At 44.2% G+C, this 23,878-nt stretch overlaps 2 long non-coding RNA genes and 1 other non-coding gene across 3 annotated transcripts in view; 2 read left to right on the top strand and 1 right to left on the bottom strand.

The window, feature by feature from the left end:
* Nucleotides 1-4,798: 4,798 nt before the first annotated feature.
* LINC01802 (long intergenic non-protein coding RNA 1802) lies at nt 4,799-15,418 on the bottom strand. The gene is made up of 3 exons (NR_146973.1): nt 15,296-15,418; nt 6,970-7,162; nt 4,799-5,379 (listed from the first exon to the last, which is right to left on the bottom strand). It is a non-coding gene; the product is annotated as a long intergenic non-protein coding RNA 1802 (long non-coding RNA).
* MIR1302-4 (microRNA 1302-4) lies at nt 6,439-6,588 on the top strand. Its single transcript, NR_031633.1, has one exon. It is a non-coding gene; the product is annotated as a microRNA 1302-4 (primary transcript).
* Nucleotides 15,419-21,546: 6,128 nt separating the features above from the next.
* MYOSLID-AS1 (MYOSLID antisense RNA 1) overlaps nt 21,547-23,878 on the top strand; it is a 67,627-nt gene continuing 65,295 nt past the window's right edge. Inside the window, exon 1 of the long non-coding RNA NR_110283.1 lies at nt 21,547-21,674. This is a non-coding gene — a long non-coding RNA (MYOSLID antisense RNA 1). The remainder of the gene's footprint in view (nt 21,675-23,878) is intronic.

The raw sequence follows: 23,878 nt of genomic DNA, 5'->3' as shown, positions 1-23,878 counted from the left end.
TTCTCATTTTGGCCCAAACGTGGACATCTAGAACTGGCCCTCTGGCAGTTACCCTAGGCAGGGGCAGTTCCTAGCAAAAGATTGTGCGTGGGCTTGCACCCCCAAAGCCGACCGGCACTATGTGTTTCTGATCAGCCCGTGTAAAGTGAGGGTCAGGAACAGAGCTGTACAGAGGGTGGCTCCCTGTCTTTGAAGGAGCTACGCTGGACCACTCTACTCCTGTAGCTTCCGAATTATACACAGTGGAAGGAAGGGAGACTTGGGCATCAGGGATACTATCTTTTGCTCGTGAATGAAGGCCAGCAAAGGGAGGCAGGTGGAGACAAGATCACAGTGTGACTTTCGTGGGTCCTACACACTGTGGCTGCTGTTGCCAATGGCTACATTGGCCATGCATGGAGATGCTGTTCAGATGCAGTCTCAAAGGTTCTGAGTTCCAAGTCTCCAGTTGTACAAATTCAAAATAACAGGGGCAGTGCCAACTACTCTAGTTGACAGTGAATCTGGCCCCTTCAGTTTCTGCTGGGAGAAAAAAACAAACAAACAGCTAAGAGATCATCATCAGGGACATAGGTGAAGAGTTACATCTGGTGGAGTAGTCCATCATCAGAGTAGCTGTTTGAAAATATTATTTTCATAATTAAGGGGGGATGGGAGTGGATAGGTTCAAGGGATCCAGCATTTTGGAGAACCTACTACATTAGGCAACTGGAAGACCCCAGAGATGCAGAGCCCCTTCTTAAGGGGCTGAAATTGGTGCTCCCCCACCACTCACTTCCCTCTATCAAAATCTCTTCAGGGTAAGGCCCTCAAGTTCTCCACTTCCCATTCACATCCTATCACTAAAATACCCTGCGGCTGGCCCTTTAACATCTGTTGCGACACTATGGCCGAATATACAAAATACAACATGAGAAGCCTCCTTAGGACCGTGTGGAATCTATTTAATTTGAGATGGTTTGTCTGTGGGAGGAATAAAAACACAACAAGCCCTAGAAAATAACTACTTCATCACATCTTATAATTTACTCCACTAGGAGGTTGGAAGTATGCCTCCAAATTGCCCTAGTACAATTTTTGTGGATTTGGTGGCTCATACTAGTAAAACTAAAGTCAGTGGAAAATTTCCACATGTGAGAATTATAGTATTAAATCCTTTAAAACAACAACATGTGCACACACAGCCCCCAACATTTCTGTGTCTGGAAATCCTGATCATGACTCTGAAAAGCAGGAAGTCAGGATCTATTGCATCAATTGTGTTGGAAAGCACTTATGCGGTGTGTTTTTTTAATACTAAAAAATTGTTTGGTTAGACTTAACATGCTTAGTCTCATTTCCTGAGAGGATTTCTTCTTAATTGCTGCTGTGAAAAAGTTCTGCTTTACACCATTCACAATAGCAAAGACATGAAATCAACCCAGGTACCTATCAATGGTGGATTGGTTACTCAAACAGATTTACAAGAAAAAAACAAACAACCCCATCAAAAAGTGGGCGAAGGACATGAACAGACACTTCTCAAAAGAAGACATTTATGCAGCCAAAAAACACATGAAAAAATGCTCATCATCACTGGCCATCAGAGAAATGCAAATCAAAACCACAATGAGATACCATCTCACACCAGTTAGAATGGCAATCATTAAAAAGTCAGGAAACAACAGGTGCTAGAGAGGATGTGGAGAAATAGGAACACTTTGACACTGTTGGTGGGACTGTAAACTAGTTCAACCATTGTGGAAGTCAGTGTGGCGATTCCTCAGGGATCTAGAACTAGAAATACCATTTGACCCAGCCATCCTATTACTGGGTATATACCCAAAGGACTATAAATCATGCTGCTATAAAGACACATGCACACGTATGTTTATTGCGGCATTATTCACAATAGCAAAGACTTGGAACCAACCCAAATGTCCAACAATGATAGACTGGATTAAGAAAATGTGGCATATATACACCATGGAATACTATGCAGCCATAAAAAATGATGAGTTCATGTCCTTTGTAGGGACATGGATGAAATTGGAAATCATCATTCTCAGTAAACTATCGCAAGAACAAAAAACCAAACACTGCATATTCTCACTCATAGGTGGGAATTGAACAATGAGATCACATGGACACAGGAAGGGGAATATCACACTCTGGGGACTGTGGTGGGGTGGGGGGAGGGGGGAGGGATAGCATTGGGAGATATACCTAATGCTAGATGACGAGTTAGTGGGTGCAGCGCACCAGCATGGCACATGTATACATATGTAACTAACCTGCACAATGTGCACATGTACCCTAAAACTTAAAGTATAATTAAAAAAAAAGAAAATAAAAAAAAAAAAGAAAATGTGGTACATATACCATGGAATACTATGCATCCATGAAAAAGAATGGAATCATGTTTTTGCAGCAACATGGGTGCTGCTGGAGGCCATTGTCCTAAGCAAATTAAAGCAGAAGCAGAAAGCCAAATACTGCATATTCTCACTTATAAGTGGGAGATAAACATTGGATACAGAGGGACACAAAGATGGGAAAAACAGAGGGACATAAATATGGGAGATTCGGAAGGAGGGAGGGAGGAGGGAAAGGACTGAAAAACTACCCATTGGGTACTATGTTTGCTACTTGGGCAGTGGGATCATTAGAAGCCCAAACCTCAGCATCATGCAATATACCCATGTAACAAATCTGCACATGTACCCCTGGGTCTAAAGTAAAAAAGTAAAAGTCCTGCTTTAAATCATAAAGTAATATATAGGGGTTGATGGATTGGATTTTTTTTTAAGTTAGGTAAACAGTGTAGATAGAATGTGGTAGAAAACCTATTGCTGGTTTTCATAAAACAGTTAATGGGAAAGAATCAATCAATCTTTCTCTCTCTTTTTTTGTTCCTTCTTCTCTCTCCCTTATTCCTTTCTTTGTTGCTTAAACAATCCTAGCTAAGACTATGAGTTTGCAAGAGCCACTGCCTTTAGATTTTCTATTTATTCTTGCTCTCAGATGGCAACTGTATAAATCTTGTTCTGACCTAAAATATCTTGAAATCTGGGAACAGGGACTGGGTTGAAAACTAGAAAGGTGCTAATTTTCACTGACCCTGGTGTTCTGATCATCTCAGCGCTACCACACATGGGCTAACGCCTTCCCTTAACAGTTCCTCTGGCTTGGAATTGCTTTCCTTACTCAGACCTGCTCTTATCATGTAGGCCATTTTCTTCCTTCAAAATCTACAGTTTCTATGCTATAGGAACCAAAGTGCAGATAGAAAGAGGTAAAAATGGAGAATCATAGGTTAGAGCTTGGGCTGGCCTTTGGGAAAGGGGTGATGAGTCAGTGGAGGGCTTAGGAACAGAGTTACCATCAATCCAAACCACAGTGGTATGGGGGAGGATAGGGGAGAGACTGGTGGTGCTGGAAGAATCCCAGTTCAAACTGGGCCGACCAGTTCATGGAGGTTCCTTAGCAGAAGATGCCATGCAGCAATGTCAGTAGATACCAGGGGTGCTTGACAGGAGTCTCTTCATGTGAACCCTACACCCAAACCATCTGCAAATCCTATTGGCTCTACTGCCCAAATGTATTTAAAAGCTGATATCCTCACCACCTCTGCCACAAACACCTGGGCCAAGCCACCATCCTCTGTTACTTGAATTATTACCTACCTGGCTTCCTTGCTTCTGCTTGGGCCTCCCCCACTTCTCAGTATCTCAATCCAGCAGCCAGAGCAATCCTATCAAGACTTAATGGCTGAAGGTAAAAGCTCACATCCTTCCTAGGGCCTCCAGGGTCCTACACGGGTCTGTCCTTCCCCTCTTCCCTCTTCATCATGTCCTCCTCCTCCGTCACTCCCTTGGTCCTGATGTGATGGTCCACCGACTGCTTTCCCCATCATCCCAGGCACACTCCCACCTCAGAACCTTGCTCCTCCCTCTGGCTGGAGCACCTTCCCTCCAGGTAGCTGCATGGGCCTCTCTGCCAATTCCTTCAGATCTCTGCTCAAAGGTCTCCTTCCTGTGGAATCTTCCCCAGCCACACCTTTAAACCTTGCGCTCTCAGCTTCACCCTACTCTATCCCTCTCTCCTGCCTTTTGTGCATAGTGCTTACTACTGAGGTACTTACTTTGTTTGTTGGTTTATTTTCTGTCTGTACTCAGCAGAAGCTGAAGCACATTTGCTTTCTAATGTATCCTCGGAGGGTAGAACAGTGCCTGGCATATAGTAAGCACTTAATATTTCTTGAATAAATAAGTGAATAAATCGGTAAATTAAACAGGCCCCTAGTAATGACAAGGGGAATAGAATGGAGCTCAGAATGTTCACCAAGAGTCAATGGGACAGTCAGGGTCCTGATTTCTGGAGCTGAGGCTGTGCTGTTAGGAAAGCAAAGGCAGATACAGTATTGTCTATATTTATCTGGTGCTCATAGTGGAGCCATCAGGCACAGGGTGCTACCAGTTTGTCAGAGAATGGTCAATGCCTATGGTCAAATAGGTTCAACCTGGCCAGAGGCTGCCACTTTAGGACCCAAGCCTTCTGTGAACCTCTGTAACAACCACTGTATTATTCATTCATTCACCCATCCATCTGTCCATCCATCAATACATCCACCCATTCATTCAATCTTATAACAGTTATTTACCCAATGTCTTTTCAAACCCAGGTTTTCACTGCTTGGATTTTCTGAACATCATTCCTACCACATTCTATGTCCTTGTGAGCAGGAACTCCTATGTCTTCAAATTCTCTCATACCTTAACATGTCTTAAATGAATGAACCTTGGACAAGAGATTTCACTTGATTGTGCCTTATTTTGTTTCTTTATAGTCAAAGCAAAAGAACAATGAAAATGGATAAATTAATAGATCAAAAGTCTCAGAATTTTAAAGTTAGAATTCAAATCTCCAACTAGTGCTGAATACTCTCGCAGTGCTTCCCGTATGTCTCTGCTAACCTCTCATGATCAATTCCTTTTGTTTAGAGCCTTGATAAATCCCAGGCTGACCCTAACACTGGAAAAGGGGCTTCATTCCTATTTATTCCATTAACTGCTAGGTTATTTTAGTCCATTCATCTCACTGACTTTATTTCTCTTTCTTGTTCCATGTTCTTCTTGAGTTTAAATAACTGTAGCCATTTCACATAATAAGGTTTTTAAAATGGGTATGTTGGTGCTCCTCCAAGCAGATTTTAATTCTTGACTGCCTGTCTTAGTCAGCTTGGGCTGCTATAAGAAAATATCAGACTGGGTGGCTTAAACAACAGAAGCCCAAGTTCGGGGTGCCAGCATGGTAAGTTCTTGATGATGATTGTCTTCCTGATTTGCAGATGGCAGTCTTCTTCCTGTGTGCTCATATGGCCTTTCCTCAGTGTGTGGGCTGAGAAAAAGAGAGGGGGAGAGAGAGAAAGAGGGAGAGAGAGAAAGAGAGAGAGAGATTTCTTCATCGTCTTACAAGGCCACTAATCCTGTTGGATTAGACTCCGCCTTTACAACCTCATTTAACCTTAATTACCTTCTAAATACCTTATCTCCAAATACAGTCACATAGGGCTTCCACATATGAATTTTGGTAGGCACTATTCATTCCATAACACTGCCCTATTTTAAGATGCCCATTATACACAGTAGCAAGTATTGATGGGGTTAATTTCATTGCAACTTTAATTTGATCGTAACTCCGTGCTGTGTTTATGCCCAATCTTTATATTTTCTTCCTCACTTAGCATGCATTTCAAGTCACCACTTAAACCCACTTCAGGAAGAGTGATTTATAGATTAGTCCTACTTTTGCCCCAGTTGTCAAGTTTTTACTTTACTCAAAATCTGGTTTCTTTTATTTTTGTTGAAAAGCAGGTCAGTATAGAATCTGCTGTCCCTATTAAACATTTTGTACACATTGTCCGGCTCTGTCTTCTTGATCTTATCTACAGTTGCACAGATACAAGCGCAAGATTGCTCTTGCTCTCTGTCTCTCTCTCTTTCCCCTCACGTAGCTGCTTTCTTCTAATCATTTAGGTTTCTGTTTAGAAGCTGCAGAGAAGTCTTGACCAAACACTATCTATGGAAGTCAGTCATCTCACATCACCTGTTTTTTTCTGACACCTAAGACTGCTGCTGTTTTGCAGATGGAGAAACCGAGGCTAGAGAACATATGGAATTTGTTCATGGTTATTCAATTTCTGTGTAAAAAAGAGAAGGCCTGAGAGGTGGGATGGGGCTCAAAGGAGTCTGGAGGTAAACTGGCCATCCCTTACAGAAAGCAAGACAGTGTGTCATTAGGCTTTTCTCTTTTCAAGGTATTTTCAAAGTTGTCCTCTCTCCCTTCTTTTCTGTCTTGACCTCCTTGACAAAATCTGTCTGGCAGAGTGATAGGATAAGTATGTGGAGGGTGGTGGGGCATTTGGCCAGGTGTAGGTTGCCAGATTTAGCAAATAAAAATGCAGAAGCACAGCTAAAATTTGAATTTCAGATAAACAAATTTTTCTTAGAATAAGTATGTCTCCATGCAACATTTGGGACATACTTATGCTAAAATATTATTTGTGTTTCATCTGAAATTCAAATTCAACTGGACATCCTGTATTTTCTCAGGCACCTTTAGCCAGATAGCTATACCACAGCATGTGTCCTCTGGGTAAAGGTTACAAGCCTCGCGTGATAGTGAGTATGCTTAAAAAAGAAAACAAACAATAAAGTCACATTGAACTTCATTGTTTTATTTACTTTAGTGACTTTTGACATTCTTTGACAATAAAAACAGCACCATAAATATACCAAATTAAATATGTATTCTACTTTGGAAATTCTGACCTACACTAATCTTTATCAGCCCAGTTCTTCTGAAATTTTGTGAATTCACAGCATTTAATATCTAGCCCAAAGTAACTAGAAAACAGCATGGCTTCCTCATTCATCGTGAAATCACCTTAGGGATAACCTGGACAAGCTATTTAATCTCTCTTTTTACCTCCGTTCCTTCATCAGCAAAATGGAGATGCTAGCACCCATCTCATCCAGGTTTTGTGAGGAATAATTGAGAAAATGTATATGCAAGTGGCTGGTCCAGTACTTGCCAGGTAGTGGACATTCAAAATATCAGCTTCCTTTCTCTTGCCTTTCTGCTCCATTTCTGAGAATGGACAGCATCGCTTTTTAGACCACTGCAAAATATTAGGTTAAATAAGTAACACAGATATGTCTCAAAGAAACATTGATTCTTACTACTTACTGATACACAGGTACCAGCTGAGCCACATCATTTTTATAACCCCTGATGATGATTAATCAATTAATTGAATCACTCATTCAACAAGTATTTATTGAGCACCTAATATATGATAGGCACACGGTGTTCTGGGAGTTGGGGATACATGGTAAACAGAGCAAACTTGCCATTTTACCTTGAGAATTGCTTATATGATAGTGGGGGCAGGGGCGATAGTAAACAAATTATCACAAGCAAAGATACTATATTATATGGAGCAAACAATCAGAGCAAATGTTGTGAAACTGAGTATTTGGTTATGTGGAGATCATTGGTGACCTTAATAATAACTTTTTGTTCTCTGAAGATTGTTCAAGAGAATGGGAGGAGGAGGAAGTTGAGAAAGTTGAAGACTCTGCTAAAAAGGGGAGCAGGAAAATTAGTGGCAACTGAAAGGGGATATGGAGTTAAAAACCTTTTCTTTTTTTTGTTGTTTTTGTTTTTGTTTTTGAGACAGAGTTTCACTCTTGTCGCCCAGGCTGGAATGCAGTGGCACGATCTTGGCTCACCTCAACCTCCATCTCCTGGTTTCAAGCGATTCTCCTACCTTAGCCTCCAGAGTAGCTGGGACTACAGGCGCGCACCACCACGCCCAGCTAATTTTTGTATTTTTAGTAGAGACGCGGTTTCACCATATTGGCCAAGATGTTCTCGATCTCCTGACCTTGTGATCCGCCCGCCTCAGCCTCCCAAAATGCTGGTATTACAGGCGTGAGCCACTGCACCCGGCGCTTTTTGGTTTGTAAATTTTTATTTATTTATATTTTTTCGGAGACAGTGTCTCTCTCTGTTGCCTAGGATGGAGTGCGGTGGTGCCATCACAGCTCACACAGCCTGGACCTCCCAGCCTCAAGCAATCCTCCCACCTCAGCCTCCTGAGTACTTGGGACTATAGGTGCACACCACCACGCCTGGCTAATTTTTGTATTTTTTTAAAATTTTGTAGAGACAGGGTCTTGCTATGTTGCCCAGGCTGGTTTGAAATTCCTGGCCTCAAGTGATCCTTCGGCTTTGGCCTCTCAAAGTGCTGGGATTATAGGCAGGAGTCACTATACCCGGCTGTTTTTTTTTATTTTTTTATTTTTTTGTTACAACATGCTTGTAAGCTGAAGGGAATGGCCAAGTGGAGGGAAATTAATAACATAGAAGGCAGAGGACAACTCTAGGAGTGAGTGCTTGACAAGGCAGTGGAGGAAGAGGTTCCACTGGATGAGAGAAGGGCTTGCCTTGGACTGCAGTGGGGAGGGTTTACTTTCTGTAGTAAGAGGGGAGGGTAACTATGTGAGGCTGTGGGTACGTTGGGAGCTTGCTCAGTTTGGCAATGGGAAGATGTAGAGGTTCTTTACTGTCTCAGTGAAATAAAATATAAAGTATTATCTTTCACTTCTCTTATCAATAATTATTGATTATTGACAAGCTGAAAATAGAAAAAATAATTATTGACAAGAAATTTAGCTTCCTCGTTGATATCAGGCTCTCACTGAGCACCCCCAAATGCTCTTGGATATATACCATTGTCTCCCCACTCCCACTTTGGGGAGTGAGAGTCTGATTTAATTTATTCACCGGCAGCTCTTTTCAGCTCACCAGGCTGACGTGCTGGTGTTTTGCTGTTTTTACCCATCGTGTGTTTCTCTCCATTGAGATAAACTTCTTCCACAAGAAGCTGCCTATCTTGACAAGTCTGTTTTGAGTCTGTGCTCCACTGCACAGCCAGACCTGAAAGTGACGGGAACTGACAAACTCTCTGAACTTGTCCCATTGGATTTGTCTAATGGGCCTTTCCCTGACATAGATGAAAAAGTCATTGACAGAAGCAGACCACTTACCATGAACCTGAGGAGAGGTATAAGCAGCGACAGATAAAATAGGGCTTGAAAAAAAGCTGGGAAATTCAGGAGCATACGATGGGCCCAAGGAGATCTTCACTTTGAAATGCGAAGCTGAAATGGATGGGTATTGGGTTTTGCAGCCCCAGGTCACCGGCTGACCAGTGAGAATGCCGAGCTCCTGTTCTCTATTGCTCTCCCTGCACTGCACTGCAGAGAAGCTGCTAAGTGGTGACTTGGGGGTCAGGGGTGGCTTTCAGCATCCCCTCTAGGCCTGAGGGCTGAGTTCTCTTTCCAAAGAGAAAAAAGTGCTATTTGAAATTTCGTGGCCACTTAGAAATTCTAGTTTGTTGGCAGAATTCACACTGAAGGAAGTTTTCCAAACAGAAGAGTCACATCTTAGGAGTGGTATTTTTAGGTTCTATAATCAACACCTAACGTGAACATCATATAAACTCAGAATTACCCTTGAAAAGCCCTTACATCACCCTTAAAACATATATCCCTGTGTTCTAATTTTCATTCACAGTGAAATTTGAAAATCATTGCGCTAGATTAAAGGAACAAAAACAGGAAGGAAACATATGTGCAGATGTCTGGCCTCAGACCATTCTGCCTTTAAGGCAGATACCAAATCCCCAGCTTTGAGAGAGCACTGAGGGGAGAACGCAAAACATCCTTGTTGGGCCACAGGGTTTACTTTATTCCCCTTGAATCTTAAGCCTTGACAGCTTTTACAGATGGTAAAGGATGTGTTCGTCATCGTGATGAGTAATTGAAATAGCGGCAACGCATCAGGTCCAGGTTAGGGGTAAAGTGAAATGATATCACTTCACTCTATTTTCTTTAAGAAGAAGCTGTAGATAAGTCAGTGGATATGTAAAGGTAGGATCCAGGTCTCCTCTACAAGGAGTAAGTTGGCTGAATGAAGGTTAAAATGGCTTGATTAAAGTAGTAAAGCAACTAATTTCTTAAATACTTAGGGAAAATGTAAAACGCAGCCTAGCATAGGAGAATCCTATGTGAAAAGATAGCTGATAGTTAGTTTTCAAAAGGGAACAGAAGGACCTCTCCATTGTCAGCCAACACTGGAGTCTGAAAAGTAGCACTCTGAGGAGAGAGAGATGGTAGAAGAGAAAAGGCTTTGAGGAGGAATAGAGCCTGAGCAACATGGCGGGCCACAGACAAGAGAGAGGACCAGCCATGGGCTCTCCATGATATGGTAGTGCTGATGTTCTTGGGGAACAGAGATATCAGGCCTTGACTTTTGTTTTCCTTTTCTGGCTTTGGAAATTCCCTTATGATCTTCTCGAGGCTTGGGTAGAGTCAGTTACCTAGAAACATCCCTAGGGAGTAGGAAACTATGCAAGGGGTCAGAATCCAAGCTGGAATGGAAAAATGAGGAGAGTTGGCTCAACCCTCCCAGGACCACTCTTCCCCAAAGAGTAGAAACAACAGTATATTAAATGGTTGTTGCAGGTCCAAGGACGTGATCAGCAGCAAAACCATCAGAGAAATTAAAGGTCGAACAGAGATAGGAAATTAGGAGCTAGGCAATGTGGAGGACATGGCTGCAGGAACCAATGGAAGAGTAGATTGAAACGAAAGTCCTTTCTCCTAAATATGCTGGAGTCGGAGTTGCTGACTCAGATGGCTACAGGTGCCAGCCAACAGCATGAATAGTTGAAGAGGCTTAGTATAAGCTTCGTGCTAGGCTCCTTCTACTACAATTAAACATCATACCCACTAAGTTACTTTGGCTTTTTTTTTTTGAGACAGAGTCTCGCTCTGTCACCCAGGCTGGAGTGCAGTGGCGCGATCTCGGCTTACTGCAAGCTCCACCTCCTGGGTTCATGCCATTCTCCTGCCTCAGCCTCCTGAGTAGCTGGGACTACAGGCGCCTGCCACCACGCCCTGCTAATTTTTTGTATTTTTAGTAGAGATGGGGTTTCACCGTGTTAGCCAGGATGGTCTCGATCTCCTGACCTCGTGATCCGCCAGCCTTGGCCTCCCAAAGTGCTGGAATTACAGGCGTGAGCCACCGCACCCGGCCTACTTTGGCTTTTAAAACATTGTGGGGATGTGTTGAACAGTAAAACAAAATAACTTTTTGGGTTTCATATTACCCCAGGCTCCCAGACTGCAGCCTCTGAACTGGGGAAGGTAACCCTCTAAAGGAGGAGTGTGATTCTGCAATCATGTGGATGGAGCTTATGCCTGTTCGTGTTTTCAACACGGAGTCCTTGGAACTAGCACTGCATGTTCACCCTGCCAAGGGAAATTTACAGCTGAGGGCCTTTGGATCCTATCCAGAGTAGCATCTCTGTCTGCCCCACTGGATACAGCTCAGTCTTTGGTCATTGCAGAGATCTTTTCCATTTACTTAGTGTTCTGGGGCTTTAAAGGGAATGTGCACTCATGCTTCTGCCACCATTTCTTGGTTTGCCACCACTGAGGCTAGCTCATCTCTCTCTTGGTCTAGGTTCTTCTGAAAACACAGCCTCAGTCAAGAACTGAATGCAGGTGTTTTATTTGGGAGGTGACCCTAGGAAGCAAAAGTGAGGGCATGGGAAACTGAGGCAGGGGAGGAGGAAAAACTAACACACAGGTGCATGGAGATCTCTGCCGTAGGCATACAGAGTGGGGGTGGAGTGTCGATCCATTGACTCTCAGTGGTTGGAGACAGGAGGAAATTGACTTAACTTCTCTGGCTGTCTGCGTTTTCCCTGTGTGAAGCTCCCAGAGCTTCAGAGAAGCCCTGAGGCGGCAAAACAGAGAACTTTAGTAGCAAGCTTGGGATAGGTGTTGGCAGTGTGGATCTGACTTGAGGGAAGTGGCACCATGCAGGGCATCAAAAGTAACTACTACAGTCTATAATGTGAAAGACCCATCCAGGAAGGACCCGTCCATCCTGGGAGTGCCACAGACTGGGTGCTGCTGCCCTGACCTGAGCTTGGCTTTCTTACCTCTCTTCTGCCCATTCCTTGGACAATGGGAAAATTGCTCCATGATATCAGCCCAAGGATGCCTCTTCTACACTGTTCTTTTCCTCCCTGGCTTTCCTAACACTCACACTCATGGGTTTCCATGTGTGAGCAGTAACTGCAAAACTTACTTCCCTTCTCTTTCCTCCTTTACCTTCTGTCTTTTTTTTTTTTTTTCCTTTTCATAGAGAATGGGGGTCTCACTATATTGTCCAGGCAGGTCTTGAACTCCTGGGCTTAAGCTATCCTCCCGCCTCTGCCTCCCTAAAAGCTGGGATTACAGGCGTGAGCCACCATGCCTGACCTCCTCCTTTACCTTCTAATGGCCTTTCCTTTTCCTTTTCTCTTCCTTACAAAACGTGGTTGTCTCTGACATTCAAGTCCCTAAGGCTCCAATCTTCTTCCTCCCCACATCCCCAGGGATATAATTTGGTCCCCAGTTTCAGCTCTCACAGCTGTGTCACTGCCTCCAGCTGAACATCTCCAGGTAGGTTTTTCTCTCTATTTCTGGCTCTCTGTTTATCCTTACCCATCTCAAAATTACCTGGCTATTATGATGCTAATTCAAGTTTGAGAACCTCCCTTTAAGTGTGAAATCTCCCACAGTGAGTTGGATCCTTCTTTTTTGGTTATCTTTTATTCAGCCCAGATCAATATGTCTAAAAGTGACATTTTAGACATATTGACCCCAGCCCATGCCTTTCTCATGCTTGCCAATGTCCTCTCTGCCCTAAAAAAAGAAAAGAAAACACTCTAACTATCCAACCTATGTGCATGCTACTGTCCATTCATGTCTACATGTGTTCAAATCTGGTACCACATTTAATTCCTCAGTGTCTTTGGTGGTGGCAGTCTACCTGGTATTCATAGGCCACGGCGTGGAGTCAGACTGAGGCAGATCATGAGGTGCATGGCCAAACTCACTAGAGTCTCAATATACAGGGGTGTTGTGAGTCAGAATGCCAATGCTAGAAGGATCACTAACAACTGGCTTGAACAACTCATCACATTAAGATGAAGAAACTGAAGCCCAGAGAGATACAGAGCTTTGACAAAGGACACAGGCCCGGTTCATGCCAGAGTAGGGCCTGGAGTGACCATGTTCTGTCTTCCTTCCCAGAGCCCTTTCTACAATAACATAATTAAACAAGGAGCCTGCATCAGGGACTTTTTGAGACGGAGTTTCACTCTTTTTGCCCAGGCTGGAGTGCAATGGCACTATCTTGGCTCAACGTAACCTCTGCCTCCAGGGTTCAAGTGATTCTCCTGCCTCAGCCTCCCAAGTAGCTGGGATTACAGGTGTGCACCACCATGCTCAGCTAATTTTGTATTTTTAGTAGAAATGGGGTTTCACCTTGTTGGCCAGGCTGTTCTTGAACTCCTGACCTCAGGTGATCCACCCACCTCAGCCTCCCAAAGTGCTTAAATTACAAGCATGAGCCACCACACTGGGCCACGTCAGGGACTTTTTACGTGCAAGCAGAGGGTACCGAGCTCAAACTAGCTCAAACAATAAAGGGAAGTTATTTCATATAAATGAAAAGTTTAGAGGTATCTGGCTTCAGGTGACATTTGAACCAGAAGCTTAAATATGTCAACAAGAACAGGTGGATGGAATGCCTGATTAACCTCACCTAGACCACGTAAGTCCCAGGATCATATGAGAAATTCAAATAGAAATAAGGGATATTGGAAAAGGGGAATGAAGACAATAGATGCGTAACAGGGGCCGACAAAAAAAATCACGACAATATCCAAAAGGGGACAAAGATATGTGATATGAAGTCCAAATGATCCCAGTCATAGCTGGACTATGTCCACTTGATTGAGTACAGTTGGAATGGAGATCTTGCTTTGGGGTTGAAGCCAGAGGGAGCTCTGGGACTTTTTGTTTGACAACTGCCCCTGGATAATTCATACCTGTGCCCTGAACATTCTTCCTACCTGTTCAGAGGGCAGGGCTATATTCTTGGGGTGGCCTGGACTCCACTGGAAAGCCCAGCATGCTGGACAGTTCTGCTATTTTAAGAGCATGTGAGAAGTAGAGGGAGCTGAGACAGCTGCCCAGCTAGGAAGAAGGTCTAGGAGCCAGACCTTCCCCGTGGGCAGCCGTCTTCCTTTGAAAGCTGGTCGGTGGTCAGGACCCTGGTCCCTGTCCTCTGTTCCTCACAGTCGGTAGACTCAAAGCTCTGCTTATTCTTCTTCACAGATGCTGTCTCTTCCTCTACCCACCCATCTCTGCCTCTACTCACCACTGCCATACCTCAGCTCCCGTGTGAATTGCCTTGTGCCTGGGCCGTGGCAAGGGTCTATAAGCTTGCCTCCCAAGCTTGCTCCCCACCTGCCCCCGCACATCCTGTGCCCTGTGCTAGGGAACTCACCCCTGACAACAGTTTTGGCATATCATTCTCCCACTCCAAGCCCCTAATCCAAATTCAAATGTCACCTCCTCTGAGACCCCTTCACTGCAGTGATCATTCCCACTCTGAACCCCAAACGGAATGTCCATCCTGCCCAGTTGGAACTGATCAGGTTTTCCTGCTTTCCATTGTTACAGTTTCAAGCATCTTTGGTCTCTTTACTCTGATGATGTGATCCTGGACGATAGAGATTTACATGTCTAACTATGACTCAGTATACAGCTCTATACCCCATAAGTAGTAGATAAACAAATAATACTAATTCCTTGAGGTTAGCCTCTTTAGCTTCAAATCTTGGCCAATTAAAACTTCCTTATCGTCATATCTTTAAATCTCTAGAAATGTAGGTTTGAATTTTGAAATAGGAAGAAGATAAATGGAAGATATTTTCCCGCCCCATTCTTGCAATTAATTTTCCTTGTCTGCTTGAGTATATACCAGCATTGATATCTACCTCTGACTTAATTTACCAGAAGGTGCTCTAAAAACCTAACCAATGTGCATCTCTACAATTCAAACGGGCATATGGTTCAAAACACCAAATTTGTCATGTCTCTAGTGTGCTGAGCTCAGAGGAGTATTTCAAAAAACAAAACACACACACTCAACATGGGTTGAGGGACAGGACATTTTAAATGAGAGTTTTTAAAGCATCAAAAATATCACAGGTGTGTTCTTTCTTGATGCTTACCCATTTAACTATTCTGTAGTTATGGGACCAAAATTCATCCCATGAGCTCAGCATTCCTGCTCTTGAAAAGGGCTGTGTGGGGCTGGACGGATAGTTAGGACTTACCTGAGCAGGAATAAGTTTTCAATGGTACAGGCAGATGCTTTGGGAATCAGGAAGTGACCTGCTCCTCCTTGAAATGACTCTGGGCTGGGGCAATGGTGACACTGCCACCTCATGGGATCTGGGGTTACCTGGTGGAGGAAAGACGCAGGATGAAGAGAACCAGGTATAACCCTGCCACTTGGAGTTTTTCCTACAACTTGGGCTGGTGAAATGCTGAATCTCAGTTTATGTTCAAAATAAATGAAACCTCATTCTATTACCAAAATAAACTGCTCACATGTGATGTTGATAATGAGACAGCCAGACAGAAGCTGCCTTCATACCAAAACAAGTGAATCAGGTGGTAGGAATAAATGAACAAAGGGCAAGGCATTGTCACTGCCCCTTTCCTTCAGCAGTAGAAAGACTGACTAGAAAATTCATACGTAAAGAAAAAGACCTTTTTTTCTGTTGTTACAACCTGAAACGCCATGGAATTATTTGATAGAGCCTTTTTTGGAGAGAGGGTGTGGGCAGACATGGTAAGGGCAGATCCTGTGTCTGTCTGTGTCAGGGGCAGTATTTGCGTTTGCCAAAATGTTTATGCAGACACAGAGAGGAGGGGACTAAGCTATTTGGCCCTGTGACACCAAAAAATTATAATTGTTGTTATTGGAATGAATTGTGTTATGTGTTAAAGTCCTAACTCCCTGCACCTCGAGATGTGGTTGCATTTAGAAATAGGGTCTTTAAAGAGGGAAAATGAAATGATCTCATATGGGTGGGCCCTAATCCATGGTGTCCATGATATCTGGTGTCCTTGTAAGAAGAAGTTAGGATGTAGACAGACACAGAGGGAAGACCTGTGAAGATGGAAGACCTGTGAAGATGTCACAGGAAGGTGATCATCTGCAAGCCAAAGAGAGACACCCTTAGAAGCAACCACCCCTGCTGACATCTTCATCTTGGGCTTCTAGCCTCCAGAACTGTGAGATAATAAATTTCTGTTGTTTAAGCCACCCAATCTGTGGTCTTTGCAGTCCTAGCAAACCGTAATTGTTAAACAGGAGCAGAGGGAGGCAGACTTACTATGGAGAAACACAATATCGGGGCAGCACTGTGTTTTATTGTGAATGAATAAAGGAAATAATCCATTCATTTCTTCAGCACATACTTTATTTCTGATCTTTAGAGGGTGGCATGTAGCAGCTGGGAGAGGCTCTCCCTTTCATTGTCCCCAGCAGAGAATAGGAAACATGCTGTGTGGGCTTAAAAACTTCTGGCCACCAGCCACTGGCACCCTGTCTCTGGGAAGCAAGGATAAATCTGGTGATCCACTGATCACTGAGCACTTAACAATGATCACTGGAATGATATAACTATTATCTTTTCATATTTCTACCAGACTTAACCTTGCAGGGTCAGTATCATCCCTGAGCTTTAAGTTCTCAGCTTGTATATAACCTTGGATGAAACTGTGAATGTTCAATCTGGATAAAATAATTAATGTCTTTTTATTGCCCCTTTCAGAAACACACAAGGTCCTTGTTGGCCTCATGCATGGAGTATGGACAAGTAGCTCTTTACTTAGCTGGTCTTACAAGCTGCTTTGCAAATGTATCTGGCAGGTGGTGCAGTGCATGGGGGAGGGCCCGCAGTCTGTCCCTGGAGGCTCAGCTGAGTATCTCTGGCTAAAGCATCATCTCAAAGGCTTGAGAAGCCTAAGCTCCAGCCCCCACCCCTTCTTGAGCTGATTTCTCCCTCCTGACTCATGTCTGCTGCCTCATTTGTGTTACTGTGCAAATGTTTAGCCAAGAAGCCATACCAGGCCGAGTGCCTATTTATGACCGCCTCAGGAGTTTACAGTCCAGGCACTGAGGCAGCATTCCATGCCTAGCCTCTGGTCAAATAAGGACAAAGTGAACCACACCTTCCCTTCTTGGCAGTGAAGCAGGGGCAGTTAGAATGCTGTGTGCTGGGTGCAAAAGCCTCCCCCAGGCAGGGCCAATTCTTTCCTAGCTTCCCAATGACCTTGAAGTTGTAGCAACATAAATTAGAAGAAAAGAGTGTAGAATATTTGTGACATGACTCAGGATGCTGGGGGAGAAGAGGGCTGCTTGTTTGGTTCCCTTTCTGGGCTTCTGTAGGAAGTGGATTATGAATTCTCATTGGTCTAAGAGAAAAAGCACTTTTGCCATTGTGCATGTCCTGCTTGTCAGCAGGGAGCCTCGTAGAGAAAAACCCTCGAAGAAGGGCATGTAACAATACAGTCTGAGACACACACATGTGTGCACACACATATGCACATACGCCCAAAAAACAACCCAAAGGAATGCAGACACAGCTACCATCCTGGGAGAACCACCACGGCAGACACCAGCCTCAACGTGAGGATTTGGAAATAAAGGTGGCTGGGGTAGGGTTTCTCGTTTTAAGAGACTGAAAGTGTGCTTGCAATCAACCAGAAAATTTGAATTTGTTCTCTGCAAGCCTTTCCTCTTAGCCTTGTCAGGAAACACAAAAGCTCCCCAGACTCAGCTCCTGGCCAGGAGGAGTTGCAATCCGATGTGGTGGTGGTGGGCTGGGGAGGTGTACAATTGCACATAAAAGCGTTCATTGACAATTCAAGACCAGAAGAATAGCAGGGATAGTCAGCACTGTGGGCAGGGTCTGGTGACCAGATGGGTCAGACCCTTCCAGAAATTCTGAAGTTTTGCTTCTCCATTTGCTTAATAGGTGATAACCTAATGTCTAAGCAGCTAGACCTCCTGTGTGTAAACCCCCAGGGAGCAGGGTGTCTGGTGGAAATAGTGTCAGCCATGACTGTGCCATCCGCTAGCCCTTTCCCGGAGCTCCAGCTCTCTGTAGAATGGGCCTCATGCTACCAGCTCTGTGTACCTGAGGGGGTGGCTAAAAGGAGAAAGCTAACAAAATAAGGGGCAGCATGGTGCTTGGCACACCATAAGTGTTTTACAAGGCATTGGAAGGTGAGAAGGTAAACGATCTTCTGTGTCCTCACAGAGGACCCTATACAATAGCACTCAGCAAATATTTGCATGATCGTGATGGTGTGGGCTTTAAATAAATCCCTCTGGGGTGGGGAGGGAGGATGCTTCTTCATAAGATAAATATTTATAGCTACAGTGAAAGAGCAGAAGGAAAAGGAAATAGGCCATGGGGCTCCCTAGGCTTCCCAGAAATATCTCCGTATCTCTTGGTCCTTTCTTTTGGAGGCGTTTCTTTATGTTCTATCCTCTCCACCCACTGCCCTTCTACCTGCTGCACCCACTGTCTTGTCTTTGGGAAAGTTCCTTCTCCCACTCTCCTTTCTCCACTGTTCCCAGGGGTCTGAGAGTCCCCACTCCCGCCCAGCTTGGTAAGGTGAAAAAGACTTCTCCTGGGGGAGCTGCTCCCCTACACTTTTTAATCAGCTTCCATCCGGTGCTGTCGGTTTCAGAACACACATGCTTTCTCACTGACACACGCGCTTTCACAGCTTGGATAACAAGGCTCTGCCTCCCGCCCTTCCCACCCTCGGCACTGCCTGCTCTCCCCTTCCCCCTGCCACATGCACAGGGTCTTTCTAGAGAACGGCTTTCAGGACCACTAGGGAAGTCCCATGTGTCCTTACAGGCAGTTGAGAGGCCACATAGCTTGCATGTAGCTCAGCCCCTTGCAGGCGGTGTGGCTGCCATGTAAATTGCTTGCGTGTATGTCAGGGGATACATTTGTAAATAACCTTTTTTTAGGGGAGGAGGGTAGAAAAATGAGGAAACAAAGGACAAATGCAGGAAGGTGGTCAGCTCAGGACCACACTTCTTCATTGTTCATTTCCAAATGAGATGGCATAGCTCTGTTAGTCCATAGGGGCTGTGTCTGGCATGAGTCAGCAACCAGTACAATCTACTGCCAGTTGATTAAATTAGCATTTGTTATAAGCCAGAAAGGGAGGGAGGGATGTTGTGTGCAGAGATAGATGGAGAATGAAGAAAATCTTCTTCATGCCTTTTGAATTATTTATGGCCTGGAACTTTACATGCTACAGCCTAACCTGACGTGATAGAGAGAGGCTGGGAAGAACTCTCTCTTCCCTTAAAGTCACAGAGCACATGCTTGGGTCCTTGGGAGGACAGGAGCATGCTAAGAATGATGGACTATAGTGGAAAAAGTGGAGCTCTCTTCATTTTATTATGACCTTGAAAACAGGACTGTTGCATAGAAATCCTGCTGCCATTAGGCACAGGAAGACAGATTTCATAGCAACCTTTTGAGCGATGGACGTGAATGTGTGAACGCATTTCACTTTGATTTTGCCGAGTGGTAACATGGGATGACTGTCAGATCAGTGGACAAAGGATAGGTCTCTTCGATCTTCGCCTCTGGCTTTCAGCCAGATGGGAGAGAAACAAAGACTCCAAAGCTGCTGCTCTCCTTCCCCCACCCTCTCCCTCCTCCCTCCTTTTCTCTCCTCCTGCCTTCACCGCCTTGGATGGAGTCTACTAACTACTAACTGCTCTTACATTTTGGGAAATCTTGTCTAATTGTTCAGGGTGTAAAAATGCAGTGATTTTATCTCAGAAAGGGGCTCTTCCTTTTGGGAGATGTGTGAATCCAGAAGAGAGCAATCTCCATGCCTCAGGGAGTCGGGCAGTGTGTGGATGTGAGTGTGCAAGACACCCAGTGTGCTCCGGCTGGGTACCAGGGCGGCCTGGCGGACATCTTTTGTTCTTGGCTCTTCTGACTGCCGGGAGCAGCAGGACAGCCCACATGCCCGCCCAAAGGAGCTGCCGCTGTTCATCATCAAGATCTGAGGCTTTTATCTGTGAGCCCCAGTGAAGAGGCAAACTGTTGGTGTCCTGCTATCGACTCATAGTCTGCCTCCAAAATAGCTTCAGGATAGGGCTGCTGCTTTTCAGCTGAACTGCTGCCTGTGGACCACCTTGTTATCCAAGGTTCTCACTGAATGGAAGCCGTCCAGAGGCATGTGGCTCTATCCCGAGAGATACAAGAAGAAAGGAGTAAGGGAAGAGTGGCCGAATGAGGGAAAGACAAAAGCAGACTGGCAGATGACAGGGACTAGAGTCAGACAAAGAACTGGGACGTGTGCTTTGGCAAAAAAGCAGGCAGGGCAGTCATTTCCTTGCTTCATCACTGCTAGCTCAATTTACCCATTTTATATACATACAAAATAAACTGTGTCCAAGACTGACCCTGTAGCAAGAACTTGAAATGAGTCATTTCTTCCAATCATTAGTATAAGTCCTACGTTTTTACTAATGCATAAATGAAACAAAGCAGGTGGTGTCTGTTGCAGTCCTGGGAGATACAAATGAGTAAAGGATGAAGACTTACAGATTGACGACGGAAAACAGGATGACAATGTTGAACTTGAGTGTGGGGTTTCCCCAACACCAAGAGGGGATCCATGTACCCCAGGCCATGGGGAAGGGTTTGATTCCTACAGCTCAGATACCATGTTCTGCCCACTTCTCCCTTAGCTACGCAAAGAAGGAAATTGAGGTCATTTTCATAATTTAGGCAAAACTTCCCTTTCCACTTGAATTACTGAGATATTTCGGGCAAACGCAGATTTCAAAAAGAAATTAAATAGCAAAATTTGAGTTTGGGAGCTCATTAACAAGCAGTGAGACTTCCTGTATTGCATCAATTATAAACAATTTGGAGGAAAGAGAGGTTGCTTTTTTCTCTTTTAAAGAAATTATCTGGAAAATTACCCAGGTCTTTGCTTCCTCTTTTTAGATGAGATCTGGACAGGCTGAGTTAAAGACAGTAACCTCATTAGGATGGGTTTAGATGATAAAACCAGAAGAAACCAAGAAGCCCAAACTGCCCTCTGGATTTCCTCCAACTAGCCTTGCCTCTGACGAGTCAGTTCATCTCTCTGCACTAGTATCTTACCACCCCCGCCCCACACACGGAAATGGAGCCAACTTGCTTTGCCACTTTTCTACTTCATAGGAATGCTCTAAAAATTAATATTCACTGTGAAACTAGGAAAGCCACAGAGGAATGATCCTATCTCAATATGAAGCATTATCAGTTTTGTTGTGCCTGCCACTCTCAGTTGGCATTGATACATTGTTCAGAATCTTTCTAAAAACCTCCGTTCTTTTTCCGACCCCAGTGACCGCTAATTGTGGAAAACAATGTACTGGACTATTCAAGAAAGAAATATTTTGCCTGTTCATCGACTCAGCCAATAAGGTTTAAAGTGACTCTGATCATTTTAAGTGGCTCAACGAATGTACCGTATAAGCTATGTACTATTGAAGGAGCTTTAGCCGCTGCAAATCTTATCCTTCCTCCCTCCAGGTTTTCTTCAGTGTCGAAATTGGTATGGAGACGTGGATGGAGATTTGAGTCTTAGGAATTTGGGAAGGTGAGTCATGCTGAGAAGCTATGTGACTTTACTCACTAAATATTTCTAGAATGTCTCCTCACCCTTCCATCCCTAGTCCTCCATCTAAGTCAGGCTCTTATTGTCTCTTGCCTGGATGTTTGAAGCAGTCTTGGGACGGGTCCTCTGGACTCCAATCTTATCTGTTAAGCAACTCTCCTCACTGCTGTTGAGTCTATCCAGAAAGCAGGCTTTATCACGTTGGTGCCATCATTGCCCAGAAAATATAGTCCAAGCTCTCCAGATGGAGGGACTTACATGTTCTCTTAACATCTTAGCTCCCTGTGTCTCTAGCTTCAGCTCCCTCCAGTCCCTGCCTTACAGATTTGTGTTCAACACAAGCAAACTGCATATGCTTCCCCTACTTAGACTGTGCTACTTTTTGCCTTTGGGTCTTTGCTTGTGCTGTTTGCTCCGCCAACAATCTCAAAGCAAGCAGACAGAGCAAACAATGGAGCATCAATAGCTCCTCATTCATCCTCGGGGTCATGTGACACGTACGTTGTCTCCTTTCTCCCCTCCTATGTATTTCTCCAGGGTTGTGGTCTCCTCTCCTGAATTCTCACCCCTGTGATACCCTGGGCAAGTCTATCATTAAGCTGATATGTAAGGTTCTATGGATCTTTATACATGCTTGTCCACCCACTAAACAGTGAACTCTCTGGAGAGAGAGAACTCTCCTCTGGATCTTGAGCAATACCTGGTTCAGGAAGGGGTCCAATATATCGTGAAATACATGCTTCTTAAACAGCTTCCATGTGTAAGGCAACTATGTGCTTGGTGTTTGGGGAATGTTTGTAATACTAAGTTGTTCAAAGAGAAAAACTGTCTAATAAGTACGTCAATGTATACTTGAGTGAATCCTTTATTTTTCTTTGAATGAATGATCCAGATTTATGCAAATAATTAGTTGGGGGGGAACCCTATGTCAACAGCAGGCCATCTGGCAGTGTGATGTCATGGCAGGTTGCATCTCTTTGCTGCCACCATCCTGGAGCCTGGGGCTTTCTTGCAGCTATGGCCTTGAGTGTAGAGATGCACCCGCCCCCCTTCTCTGGAGTTCTCTGCCTTGTATTCTGTTGCCATGGGAACAACCCACTTTCATTCTGGACTTGCTGCATGGGAGAGGGGAACCCTTTACTACAATGGTATAAACGATGAGGATTATTTAAAAAATAAGTTGACAAGGTTAATCATCACCACATGATACTAGTACCACAGATTCTGATTTTGTGAGACTGTAGTTTGTTAGGTGTTTCTGGCAGTACTGAAAATAGATTAGCTAGAAGAATAGAAGATTTGATATACCCTTTGTTTAAATGTCTAACTATCTCTGTGCCTGTGGTGATTCTATTTTTAATGCAAAAAATATTTTTATTCTCTTGAAGTATATGCAAAACCTGTTTTCAGTCAATCCAGTGTATCAAAGAAGGGAATAAAATTTCTAGAAGGAAGGCTGAATGATCTTGCAAGGTGTGGAAGGCTGGGATAAACAAAGATACTAACACCTGTCTAGGACTATGACAAATCTGCTCAAATCTGATAAGAGATTATGTGGAAACATAGTAATGTGTCATTTAGTTACTTTTTTGGAAGAGAGTCAGTTAAAAAAAAAAGAGAGAAATGGCTTGCAGACTTGCTTTTTAAACACCTTTATATATTCAGGTGACCAAGTGCAGATATATATTGCAGGAGCCTAGTTTATAGTTCAGTGACCGCAGAAATGTAACAGAGACATTCCATGTGCTCTAAGCAGGATGTTTTCATCTGGCTCTGTGAGCCTTGCCTCCTTGTAGCTCAACATCTCTCCTTTTTTTCCAGAGAGATCAGGATTCTCTTTCTAGGTGGAATGAGCTCCCCCTTGGACCTAGGCTGAGTTCCTTCCGTCTCTTTACCCAGGCAGCGTCTCTCTCTCCTAGTTTCCAGCTTTTACCCTCAACACAGATTGAGGATTCTGGTTTATTTGAGAGGCAGATGTCTGCTGAGTGTCACCATGCAATGGCGTGGTCCCCTGTCCCTAGCCTCCTCCTGATGCCTGGGTTCCCCTTTGATCAGATATACCTTGCAACACAGGCCCATTTGTCTTCTCTTGGAGGAGCCAGACAAGATTCTCATTTATTCACTCACTATCTGCTATTACCATCTCACAGAGGCACACAGCATGTGTGAGTATCGTTACACCAGGG

This window comes from Homo sapiens, chromosome 2 (genome assembly GCF_000001405.40).
Source record: "Homo sapiens chromosome 2, GRCh38.p14 Primary Assembly".
Classification (NCBI taxonomy): Eukaryota; Metazoa; Chordata; class Mammalia; order Primates; family Hominidae; genus Homo; species Homo sapiens.
This window is presented reverse-complemented; position numbering and strand designations above follow the sequence as displayed.